This window comes from Homo sapiens, chromosome 17 (genome assembly GCF_000001405.40).
Source record: "Homo sapiens chromosome 17, GRCh38.p14 Primary Assembly".
Lineage (NCBI taxonomy): Eukaryota > Metazoa > Chordata > Mammalia > Primates > Hominidae > Homo > Homo sapiens.
The window spans coordinates 16130681-16143933 of record NC_000017.11 but is presented as its reverse complement, the minus strand read 5'-3'; the positions used below and the strand labels follow the sequence as shown (position 1 = coordinate 16143933).

The 13253-nt window shown below is 38.2% G+C and overlaps 1 protein-coding gene and 1 pseudogene across 53 annotated transcripts in view; both read left to right on the top strand.

Moving 5' to 3' along the window:
- NCOR1 (nuclear receptor corepressor 1) overlaps window positions 1-13253 on the top strand; it is a 186378-nt gene that overhangs the window by 71601 nt on the left and 101524 nt on the right. For all 53 annotated transcript variants that reach the window (NM_006311.4, XM_011524086.4, NM_001439115.1 and 50 more), the window contains 4 exons: window positions 238-328; window positions 4748-4926; window positions 5722-5776; window positions 6522-6623. In NM_006311.4, the coding sequence (NP_006302.2) occupies window positions 238-328; window positions 4748-4926; window positions 5722-5776; window positions 6522-6623 (427 nt within the window). The remainder of the gene's footprint in view (window positions 1-237; window positions 329-4747; window positions 4927-5721; window positions 5777-6521; window positions 6624-13253) is intronic.
- Window positions 6062-6166, top strand: RNU6-862P (RNA, U6 small nuclear 862, pseudogene; annotated as a pseudogene).

Genomic DNA, 13253 nt, shown 5'->3' with positions numbered 1-13253 from the left:
CTAGTTCCACCATTTGAACATGAACATGTAACCTTCAAATCTCAATCGTAACATTTAAATTGTTATTAATAGGTGACACAGCATATTACTTAAAAGTATATACTCAATAGTATTTTATGTTTCTTCTCTTAACTTGGTTAAAAAGTTCCATTCAGAAAAGTAATCTATAGTTAATTTAATTGATATGTCTTTATATAAGGTCTTTAAATATATTTTTAATTTCTCCCTCATGTTTAGAGTTGGGCAGAGGGGAGCTGGTCTTTCAGCCACCATTGCTAGGAGTGAGCATGAGATTTCTGAAATTATTGATGGGCTCTCTGAGCAGGAGGTAAGAAAATAAATTTAATTCAAGTTAATTCGTTAATTATTAAAGCATTTTAACTCTGTAGGAGCTAAGGGTTTTTTTGTATGTAAATGTGGGAACTTAATTGAGTGCTAGAGTTTAGACTGTCAAAGATTTGAGTGTCTGTTAAAGGGTTTTTAAACGAGGCAGTCACACGATCATACTGGAATTTTACAAAGATGGCTTTGGCAGCAAGGAGACCTGGAGAGAGGTGAGGAGGCTGTTAGGATAAAAATAAGGTTCTGAATCAGGGCAACAGTGGTAGGGATGTATAGGCGAGTGTAATAGAAAGGTAGAATGGACAGGCCAAGATGGATGGGATGTGGGAGATGAGAAAGAGGAAGAATAGAATGTGACTCCCTTGTTTCTAGGTTAGAGGAGTAAGCTGGTGGTGCCGTTTCCTAAAGTAGCAAAGGAGCATGTATTTTACAAATGGCAGTATGTTCTTCAAAGGGTGTTGTCTAGCAAGTGAACCTGGGAGAGAGTTGAACTGGGGATGGTTAGATATCAGAGTCATCTGTCTGCAGGTGATATAGTCCCAGGTAAGTATGGTAACATGAAGTGAAAGGGGCAGGTGAATGAGAATATAGAGATTAAGTTTATATATGGAGGAGATTCATCTATGAACAAGAACGCCATTTCACTAATTTTTAAGGTGAAGATACTGTGTTGTAGCAAGTGGCATTACTTTGTTTTTCAGGCATTTCCTGCCTGTATAAAGAGCAGAATTAATAAAATTATGAAACAGGTAGTAGAGACCAAGGTATATGTTTGACAAATATATCTTCAGACCCAAAAGCAGTATTTCCTCCCTTGTGAAGCTTCCTCACTCACTTTCCCAAAACAGAACTCAATGTCTAGTCTCAGTTTACATTTATTTCTATTGTGCTTCTCTTTCTGTTTAATAAATATTTATGATCAGCTAAAGTGTCATCTTCATGAGTGCGGTTATTTTAAACCTTTGGGTCAGGCTATCTTTGAGTTCCTGTTGCCTAGTGTTTAATTGGATATTAATAAATAAATGCAGAATAAGAATAAATTTCCATTTCTAACATTGAATCTTTTTAGCCCTGTTCAAACTCTCAAGATTGTTCCAAAAGCCATCTAGTATTGACTGAGTTTTGCTAGTTTTGATTTTATTATATGCCTTTTCTTAAACCTCATCTCAAAATTCTGAGAGTCTTGTTTATTTGAAATAGTGGCCTTAAGTAATGATCAAAGATATTTTTTACCATGCTGTATACTTCAAAATAAATGTTAAGTAGACTTAAATATACAGTTAATACTCGATTTGCAAAATTAGGTGAAGTGGATTTAATCTAAAATGTTCAATGATTTAGAAATAATTTAGATAAGTAAAATTCCTGTTTTCATACTACTTAGCACATTTAGAAGTAAAAAGCAGTGTTATGACTTCCTCTGCTCTACCCTTTACTACTAGTTAACCTAGCCAGTACTTTTTCTCCTTTTTCTATGGGTATTGTTGGTTTAGGTTATGGTGGACTAACTACATCTTTGGTTTTTGAGGAGGGGGAGTTTGAGGGGTAGTTACTACTTAAAATTGCCAATTGTGATAAGCACCTCATATGTATTATTTAAACTGTGAAAATTCTGTGAAATGGAGGCTATAATTAATGGCTGTTTTGCAAGTTAAGAAACTAAAGCCCAGCTGCAGGTTAAATAATTCACCCAAGGTTACAAATTAATAAATAGTGGAGCCAGATACTCAACCCAGGCAGTCTGACTCTGGAACTGTGTGTTCTTTTCCATATCTATATTCAATCAAGTCTATTCTTTCAACAAATATTTATAGCCTATTATGTGCCAAACTTTCCTTTAAGCATTGGGAATACAATGGTAAATTAAACCATCAAGTTGCTTGATCTCATGAAAAATTACTTGTGAGACAGTTGCAGTAAGTTTTTCTCCAGGATGAAAAAATAGCCTCTTTGTACAGAGTTTGTCTTTGTGTTGATATATGTTGTAGGATTCTATCAGTATTTAATTATGATACCCTGTTTTGCATTCATAACTAAATAAAAGTATATAGTATGCTCTTATAAAAGTATATAGTATGCTCTTATAAGTTACTGTGTTTCAGAATTCTAGTTAAACTAGCCCTGGAGGAGGTATAGAACTATATAAACTATATCTCAGAGTTCCTTAAACCATTTTACTTCTCAGATTGTTCTTATACTGATCAAAATAGACTTCTACAGGTGGTTTTTCTTTCCTTTCTTATTTCTGATATTCTCCTTTCCCAAAGAGAGGATTCCAAGGTGATTTTTGGTGCATTGAAATACATAACTCTTTAGGGACAATTACAATATTTAGTCAGAGGTATATCCCACACTCAAGCTTTTCAGTGCATTGTTATATGATTTCAGGATCTTAGCCATTTCTAGAGACACCTTTGAGTTATCAGTGTTCCAGAGCATACCAGCTTCACTGTGCCCAGATTCCCGGAGATGTACTTCTTTTGGAATACATTTATGATGTTATCATTGCTAAATTTTATCTCAAGCCCTAAATACATATTGCACATACTATTGCATAATATCAGGACAAGTGAATTTTCCTTTTTTTTTTTTTTGAGATAGGAGATAGGGTCTTACTCTGTCACCCAGGCTGGAGTGCAATGGTGTGACCTTGGCTTGCTGCATCCTTCACCTCCCGGGCTCAAGTGATCCTCCCACCTCAGTCTCCTGAATAGCTGGGACTACTGGTACACCACTACGCCCGGCTAACTTTTTGTTTGTTTGTTTGTTTGTTTGTTTGAGATGGCGTCTCGCTCTGTCAGCCAGACTGGAATGCAGTGGCACGATCTTGGCTCACTGCAACCTCCGCGTCCCAGGTTCAAGCGATTCTACTCCCTCAGCCTCCCGAGTAGCAGGGACTACAGGCACATGCCAGCACACCCAGCTAATTTTTGTATATTTAGTAGAAACAGGGTTTTGCCATGTTGGCCAAGCTGGTCTCAAACTCCTGACCTCAGGTGATCCACCTGCCTTGGCCTCCCAAAGTGCTGGGATTACAGGTGTGAGCCACCCCACCCAGCCTCTCACTTAGCTAATTTAAAAAAATTATTTTGTAGAGATGGGGTCTCACTATACTGCCCAGATTAGACTTGGACTCCTGGGCTCAAGCAGTCCTTCTGCCTTGGCCTCCAAAAGTGCTGGGATTACAAGCGTGAGCCACTGTGCCCAGCAATTTTTCATTTCTTTTGTAGCAGTATAATCAAGAGCTTTAAAACATAACCACTTACTCTATATTGCTTTTAAAATTACCTCTAAAGTACATGATTGAAATGACATTCAGCCCTTGGAATATGTAGCCATTATTTCTACAATGACGAGTAAATCTCTGTTAAATTTATTTGCTCTTTGACTGATTCCATGAGGAAACATCTGTAAGTACATGATTGAAATGACATTCAGCCCTTGGAATATGTAGCCATTATTTCTACAATGATGAGTAAATCTCTGTTAAATTTCTTTATTTGCTCTTTGACTGATTCCATGAGGAAACATTTGTAAGCATCTAAAATTAGTTTATGTATTGAGGTAATTTCAATCTAATGTGTAATTTCAGTCTAAACACTATAGTGTTCAAACTGATTGAGAGTGTCCCAGGAAATTAGAGACTTTGTAAGGACTTGACTATTAGGCAGTATCCACTTTTATGAGGAAAATTTTTAGGGAAATACCTTTTCTTATATTTGGGTAAATACTTGTAATTTGGGTAAAAGCTTTTAAATAGAAGTTTGTACTTAAAAATTTCCTCAGTTAAACTTTGGGAAAAATAAGTTCTGCACGTGTAACAAAGTTTTAGTTGAAACAAGCTTCATTTCTAAGAATAACAACCTTAAATTTTCAATGGAAAGATGATGTAAAATTAGCAAGAAGCGTTTAATAGTAAAGTGAGTTTAATTTAAAATCGCTGACTTAAATTTTGATGCCTGTTTGCTTATTTTTCTATTTATTGTTCTGTAATATGACGGTAAAAGTTGTTCTATAAAATGATGTTGAGACTTTAAAAAATGAGACTAATATGATAATTAAATGCTCCATAAGGTCACCACTTCAGTGAACTTGACATTACTTTTTATCTTCCAGGTCTAAAATTTTATTATGTTAAGTATCAGCTTAGTTTAAGAAAAGAATTCTTCTCAAAGGAGTAGATTATTTAAAAAACGATATGGATATTCTCTGCCTCTGTAATTCATACAGTGAATATTTATTAGATATATGAGTAATTATTGTATGTTAGATGCTGTGGTATACACTGCTATTGTTATTAAACTGCATACATGGTTTTTTAGTGCACATTAAGAGCATTGGTCCATGGCCCTCCTTAAATTTCTAGTTTATGTTTTATTCTAAGTAAATTGTATTTTTTTTCCAGAATAATGAGAAACAAATGCGGCAGCTCTCTGTGATTCCACCTATGATGTTTGATGCAGAACAAAGACGAGTCAAGTTCATTAACATGAATGGGCTTATGGAGGACCCTATGAAAGTGTATAAAGATAGGCAGTTTATGAATGTTTGGACTGACCATGAAAAGGAGATCTTTAAGGACAAGTAATTTATATTTTAAATTATTCTCTAATAGACATCTACATAAGTTAGTAAAAAGTATTTGGCATTTACTTGTAAATTGAACTGTTTTCACAAAAACTTGGTCCCATTTTGGTGTTTGAATCAATACTGTGAAAAGTAGAGAATATTGATCTTCCTGTAAGTTTATAGGTGGGAAAAGAGGTAACAGATAAGAACTGGGGTTATGGAGTCATGTTAAGAGTGGTTCCCAAACTTGGGTGCTGGCTGAACTTTTGGGGAGCTTTTATAAAGTACAGATTTCTATGTATTACCGTAGACTAATCATTTCCTGGTGTATGGTGCCCAGAAATCTGTGCCCTTTAAAAGTCTCCAGTGATTCTACAATTGTTCCTCAGATTGGCAGTTAGAAAGCCCTATACATAGTATTTCTCTTCTGTTTTTTTTGAGACGGAGTCTCGCTCTGTCGCTTAAGCTGGAGTCCAGTGTTGTGATCTCGGCTCACTGCAACCTCTGCCTCCTGGGTTCAAGCGATTCTCCTGCCTCAGCTTCCTGAGTAGGTGGGACTGCAGGCATGTGCCACCATCCCCAGCTAATTTTTGTATTTTTAGTAGAGATGGGGTTCTGCCATATTGGTCAGGCTGGTCTTGAACTCCTGACCTCAAGTGATCCACCTTCTTCGGCCTCCCAAAGTGCTGGGATTACAGGCATGAGCCACCACGCCCAGCCTATACATAGTCTTTCTTTTCCCAAGTTTTTTTTTTTTTAGTTGTTGAAATATTTGTACGCAAGTGTGTTTTTGTTTTCGTTTTCACTCAGGTTTATCCAGCATCCAAAAAACTTTGGACTAATTGCATCATACTTGGAGAGGAAGGTAAGACATGGTTTGCATTGGGAGTGTTTGTAGGTTTGTGATGGTTGTTACTTTGAAATTCTTGTGCTCTGACACATATAAGTAGTTAACTAGAACCGATTTTAAAAAGACTGCGAAGAGTCTCATGTGATTAATGTAATGATAATTACAATTATTAGAGAAATCGTAACACAGAACACAGAACTAAATGGTTAATGAAAGATGACCTGATGTTTATTTCCCTAAAACACATAGATTACAATGCTTTTGGAGCCTCATTAAATTTCTAATTAAAATATCAGTCTCGTGCTCGCTTCAGCAGCACATAATACTAAAATTGGAACGATGCAGAGATTAGCATGGCCTCTGCGCAAGGATGACAAGCAAATTTGTGAATCATTCCATATTTAATATAAAGTTGATTTTAATGTTTTTGAACAAAATATTTAAAGACATTTTAAAAATTTGCATGTATGTAATCAGAAAGGGAATTTACTTGTTAATAAGAAAATATTTGAATGTTTCTGATAGTTCCTGGCATCTTTCACATAATTTGGATTAACAACTGTAACTGTCTATTAAAATAGTACCTATAATGTAAATAATTTTAGAGCCTAGATATGCCTTAAAATGCTAGCAATGTATGTTGTTCTTTTTCTTTAATTTTACTTTCAGAATACCAGAGATTTTCCTTGGAAGTAATATTTAATTAAAAAATTTCTTTATTTCATTGGATCCTCAAAAATAATTGTTTTATTTCTTACAGAGTGTTCCTGATTGTGTTTTGTATTACTATTTAACCAAGAAAAATGAGAATTATAAAGCCCTCGTCAGAAGGAATTATGGGAAACGCAGAGGCAGAAACCAGGTGTGTTTTCTTACTTGTATGGAAGATATTTCAGGATTGGGGGAAATAGGCAAGCAAAAAGTGTTAAAACAGAAGTCCTGCCCTTAGTGTGTAGTTTAAACATTGATGTTTCTGTTAAATTAGTGAGGATGTTATAATTATTTTGAAGTTATATTTATATATTTAATGTATTAAATCTTGTATTTCAAATATATTTTAAGTTTCTACTATGATAAAATTAATTAGAAAAGTTTTATACCATTCTGTCATCTGAGTCATGCATTTCAGTGTCAGCAATAATCATGTAATTAAATATGAAGCCATTAATACTTTTAATACACTATCTTTAGCCAGTCTGTTTATCTGAGGAGGGGTCAGGTAGAGTAAGGGAGAGAAATACAACATGGTACCTTGATTAGAGATTCTTTACAAAAACCTGGAACCTGATTTTGTTTCATATTAACTTCATTTGTGGAGTTCAGATAGTTTAATTTCTTTCTTTCTTTTTTTTTTTTTTTTTTTTTTGAAACAGAGTCTCGCTCTGTCGCCCAGGCTGGAGTGCAGTGGTGCTATCTTGGCTCACTGCAACCTCCGCCTCCTGGGTTCAATCGATTCTCCTGCCTCAGCCTCCTGAGTAGCTGGGACTACAGGCGCCTGCCACCACGCCCGGCTAAGTTTTTGTATTTTTAGTAGAGATGGGGTTTCACCATGTTGGCCAGGATGGTCTCAATCTCCTGACTTCCATGATCCACCTGCCTTGGCCTCCCAAGGTGCTGGGATTACAGGCATGAGCCACCGCGCCCAGCCTAGATAATTTAATTTCTAAAAAGCACTTTTTCTGTCTGGGTGTAGTGGCTCACACCTGTAATCCCCGTACTTTGGGAGGCTGGGGCCAGAGCATCGCCTGAGCCCAGGAGTTCAAGACCAGCCTAGGCAACATAGCGAGACCCATCCTGTCTTTACAAAATAATAGAAAAAATTAGCCGGGCATGATGGTGCATGCCTGTAGTCCTAGATACATGGGAGGCTGAGGTGGGAGGATGGCTTGAGCCTGGAAAGTCGAGGCTGCAGTGAGCCATGATTGTGCCATTGCACTCCAGCCTGAGTGACAGAGCAAGACCTCTGTCTCCAAAAAATAAAAAAGGCACTTTTACTAAAGGTAGTTTTCCAGAAGTATAAAACTGAAAAAGGTTAGTTTTCACAGTTGCAATTCAGTAATTTCAAAATGATTTTCCCCAAATAACTGATCAGCAGCTGCCATAGCTCACAGGTGCTTACCAGAGAGACTGCTGCGCTACTGCCACCACCACAGTTAATATGGAGGCTTTTGCTGTCTACACCCGGATAGATATTACAATAAGGACTTGCATGCATGAGCTCCGACACTGCAACGATTCATTAGCATTATTAAATCTCTTCTGGTTTTCCCACTCAGCCACCCTTTTGTTGGGGTGGGGTCTTACTCCCTTTCTTCGTTTGATAGCCCCTGGTTACCAGATATAGGTTATTGACCCAGTTCTCTCAGTATTCACAGCTATAACCTTTTTATGTTTTCTGGGTCATTATTTCCCACAGAACACCACCACCCCACATGATGTGATTACATGCTCTTTGGAAACAGTATTTCTTGTTTAAAAAAGTATAGCGAGTGTTTCATGAGTCAACTGTGTAAAATGCTGTTAGAGGTTGAGTAAGCCAAGGTGCCTTAGACGTGGATTTTCAGTGAATTAGTGAGGGGGCAGAAACACGGTTACACAGAGTTGAAGAAGATACAGAAGGTGAGGAAGTGGCATTAGTACAAGTGCAACCTTGTTTTTAAAATTTTTTTATAAAGTGGAATAGTGAAATGGGTCGGTAGGGCTAATGAGGATCAGAGAAGGGAGGATAAAGGGCATACTTGTACACTGATGGGTGCAGTACCGTAAGACAAAGGATGGGTGCTTGCCAAGCTTCATAAAGATGTACTGACAGAAAAGGAATAAATTGAGTGTTGACAGTGAAATAGGAAGCACTATTCCACCAGAGAGAAGAATATTGCCAGGGCTTTTCTTCCTGCTTCCCCTAAAGAATGTGGAATCAAGGTCCTGTAATACCCTTTTAGCTAGAGATCATAGGGACCATCTATGTTTTAAACAAGTTTCAGCTACAGTTTTTTTTTTTTTTTTTTTTTTTTGAGATGGAGTCTCGCTCTGTCGCCCAGGCTGGAGTGCAGTGGTGCGATCTTGGCTCACTGCAAGCTCCACCTCCCGGGTTCATGCCATTCTGCTGCCCCAGCCTCCTGAGTAGCTGGGACTACCGGCACCCGCCACCACATCTGGTTCATTTTTTGTATATTTAGTAGAGACGGGGTTTCACCGTGTTAGTCAGGATGGTCTCGATCTCCTGACCTCGTGATCTGCCCGCCTCGGCCTCCCAAAGTGCTGGGATTACAGGCATGAGCCACGGCGCCCGGCCTCAGCTGCAAATTTCTAACAGTTTTGTTCCTAATTGCCAAATAGTATTTATAACTTTATCTTTAGAAATTATATATGTTACTGTTTAAAATGTTCAGTCCTACATTAACGTAAGAGATAAGGTGATACTTATACAGTGTACCTTAACCTTTGCCAGATTAGCAGCCAGTTGCCCATGATGATAGAGGAGAGAGCTCTAGCAGGAAGTTCTATGGGGCACGGATGTTTGTTATTCTGAAACAGTCGTTTCTTTCCTAAAGTTGTCTGGGACACAGTTTCACTCCTCTCTGTGGCACACCGATCCTTGTTAAGATCCAGCCATGTTGGTGTTCTCTTCTGTACATTCTTGTTGCATGTTTCAAAGTACCTGTCTCAGAATGTATTTGCAGATGTGAGAATTGCCATGTATACCCTCACCTTGACCTGAGCCTTAGGTTGCTTACCCCCAGGTAGGCTCAGTTTTGGGTTGGTCAGCACTTCTGGTAGGCTAGCTCTGCCCTCATTAGCTTTTAAGTTATTGCTTTGAAGATTTTTCCTCCAATTTTACATTTCTCTGGTTGTTTCACGGGGAATTTGGGAGAGGTGTGAGTTAAATGAATTTAGACCATCATCTCATGCCACCAGATTTACCATTGTTTCTTAATTGTTTGTATACTTATTCCATTTATTTGTGTCAAAATAGAGGGGCAGCTTTTCAGAAATTAGGTGGTGTTAGTTTAAGGGCTCTCTGTGTAAAACTGAAGGCCTTTTGAGCTGATACCAGGTGAGAGAAGAAGCCACTGGGGTTTTGAGCAAAAGAGGGCTGCCAGATTTCAGTTGTGACATGATTACTCTGGTTGCTCTGTTGAGAATAGTTTGTAAGGAGACAAGAGAAGAAGCAGAGAAACCAGTTAGGAGGTTGTTTTAATAATCCCATTGACTTGGACTAGGCTACAGTGAGGAGGCGGGGAGAACGGATTAGTTTCTGGATGTACTTTTGAAGGTAAAACCACGAGATTTTGCTGATGGATTGATTGTGGGGATGAGGAAAGGACAATAATCAAGGAAAACAAGTTTTGACCTGTGGAGTTGCCATTTGCTGTGACAGGCATGACTGAAGGAGGAGCAGGTTTTGAGGGGAAAATCAGGACATGGCTGAATATGAAATACCTATTAGGTGTCTAAGCAGAGATCCAAATGAGGTCCAAGTAAAGTGGATAGTTAGACATATAAGTCTGGAGTGTAGGAAAAAGATCTGGGTTAAAGATATAGAATTTGCTATATAGAAAAAAGGTTAGAATACTTCTTTTTAAAAACAGAATTGAATTGCAAGGTTAAGATTTTCAAAATCTATGTATCAACTCCCTTGATTTTACCCTGGTGGATACAGAGATCCAACTAATTTGAAAATCACTTTACTTCTCTGCTATGTAACCAAGCTCTAGTCAGGAGGGTTTAGCTCAGGTGATCTCACAGCCATTATGGCATGTTTACTTAAAGATTCTTTAAAGTTCTGCTGAAGTTTATGCTTGATCCTGTCAATATGAGTTTGATTACTCTCCCTATCCTCTACTCCCAGCCTCCTTTTTGTAGGAAGTAATTTTTATTCAGCAGATAAATGTATAGTGTGTGGCTGGGTGCGATGGCTCACGCTTGTGATCTCAACACTTTGGGAGTCCAGGGCGGGTGGATCACTTGAGGTCAGGAATTCGAGACCAGCCTGGGCAACATGCTGAAACCCTGTCTCTATTGAAAATGCAAAAATTAGCCTGGAGTGGTGGTGCACACCTATAATCTCAGCTATTCTGGAGGCTGAGGTAGAAAAATCGCTTGAACCTGGGAAGCAGAGGTTGCAGCGAGCCTAGATCATGCCACTGCACTCCCACCTGGGTGACAGAGCAAGACCCCGTCTGGAAAAAAAAGAAAGAAGAGAGAAAGAGAAAAGGAAGGAAGGGAGGGAGGGAAAAAAGAAGAAGAAGAAGGAAGGGAGGGAGGGAAGGAAGGAGGGAAAGGAAGGAAGGAAAGCAAGAAAAGCCAGACTGGACGTGGTGGCTCATGCCTAGAATCCCAGAGCAAGACTCCATCTCAGGAAAAAAAAAAAAAAAAAAGTGTAGTTTGCTATTGATAGATTCTAAGTTTGCAAAGTTTGATTTTTTAAAACCTGTTGCTATAGGGAAGCTTAGTAGTGTTTACTCTGAAAATGAGTTTTAATCTTAGACTCATAGGAAAATGAGACAGATGTTTATATTTTTGTTAAAATTGTGTTCAGAGGTTATTCTTGGCAGGAATTTTAACTCTTCTCTCCAAATTCTGATAGAGACTACCCCAACCCATTTTTATAGTTCAGCTTGTTACCATTCCATGGAGAGTGAGTGTGGTTCTCTATATGTTTTTGTTGAAGTAATGAATACATATTGGAGATTGGAAGCCAAAAACCACTGTTGAATGTTATTATTTAGGATCTAGGATTATGCCCTACGTAATAGTTTGATTCTATGTACATTGTTCTTGCTAGCAGTAAGAGTTTCTTCCCCTAGTAAATGCTGCATTTTTCCAACATAAACTGCCATCTGGTAAGTCTGTCACTGTGCAGGTAGAATTACTGTGGTACTTGCTAGTTACCTGCAGTAAAGCAAGTCATGTTAGAAACCATATTCTTCATTTCCAAATGCTTGATTACTTTCCACAGGAATTCATGCCCTTCTTTTATGCTAACACCATTTTCCCCTTTATGCCAGTGTGTTTTTATTCCCTAAAGGTATTCAGAAGCATATACTTAGGTAAATATAGCAATTTTGAAATTGGAGGAATTTTCTGACTAAACTGTTAGCTAGTCACTAGATAGAAAGATTATTTTAGACAAGTTAAGAAGTTTATTATATCAGCAAGAACTCTAGCCCCAGAGTGCTCTGCCCAATTGTACCTATGTGACTCTAGGTGGGTCCTTTCACTTGGTGAGCCTTGGTTTCCACATTCATGAGAGTGGGGTCAGTGATACTTAGGTTGCATGGTTAATAAGAACTGGGTATGTGTGTAAAGTCCCTGGAGTGCAGAGTCAGGCACAGAGAGTGCCCAATAAATGGTAGCCACTGTTATCTTTATTGCCATTGCCACAGTGTGTTTTTTGGTGATTGACAGCTTTCACTCTTCAGGAAGTTAGTCTGAAATTCAGTTGGCTTAGGAGCACTAATTGTTAATAAATTTTGATAAGATAGGCTTAAGATATTGTCTGTTTATTTCCCGAAGTATATTTTTAAAGAAAATATTGTCCAGTAGTGAAACGGTATTTCATTTTCTTCCTCGTGTAAATTTTTATTTACAATTGCTGCTTGTTATTAAATTTAGTAATTTCGTTTTTTGGCAACTTATTTTCTGTTGAGTGGGAACTTGTCTGTTTCTCTTTTCTAAAAAAGGTGAACATTTAAAACAAATATAATTAGCACATATATATAGTTAGATATTCATTTATATATAGTAGTAATGAATCTTAGCATAAACTATTATTTGATCTTGCCAAAGGGGACCCATATGAAACTGAATCCTGTTCTTAAATTATGTTGAAATACACTTACCAGGTCAAGCATTGTGGCTTACACTAGTAATCCCAGCACTTTGGGAGGCTGAGGGAGGAGGATTGCTTGAGCCTGGGAGGTTTGAGACCAGCCTGGACAAAAACTTTAAAAATTTATACAAAAAGTTAAAAAACTGAAAAATTTGATTTTCTACAAAAAAATTAAAAAATTAGCCTGGCACAGTGGCGTGCACTGTAGTGTAATCCCAGCTATTCAGGAGGCTGAGGTGGGAGCATCGCTTGAGCCTGGGAGTTGAGGCTGTAGTGATCCGTGATCACGCCACTGCACTCCAGCCTGGGCGACAGAAGGAGATCCAGTCTTAAAAAAAAAAAAAAAAAATTCCAGGTGCGGTGGCTTATGCCTAAAGTCCCAGCACTTTGGGAGGCTGAGGTGGGCAAATCACTTGAGCCTAGGAATTTGAGACCAGCCTGGGCAACATGGTGAAACCTCATCTCTACAAAAAATACAAAAAAAAAATTAGCCAGGTGTGGTGATGTGTGCTGGTAGTCCAAGCTACTCAGGAGGCTGAGGTGGGAGGATCGCTTGAGCCTGGGAGGCATAGGTTGCAGTGAGCCAAGATTGCGCCGCTGTACTCCAGCCTGGGTGACATAGTAAGACCCTGTCTCACAATGAAAATAAAAATAAAA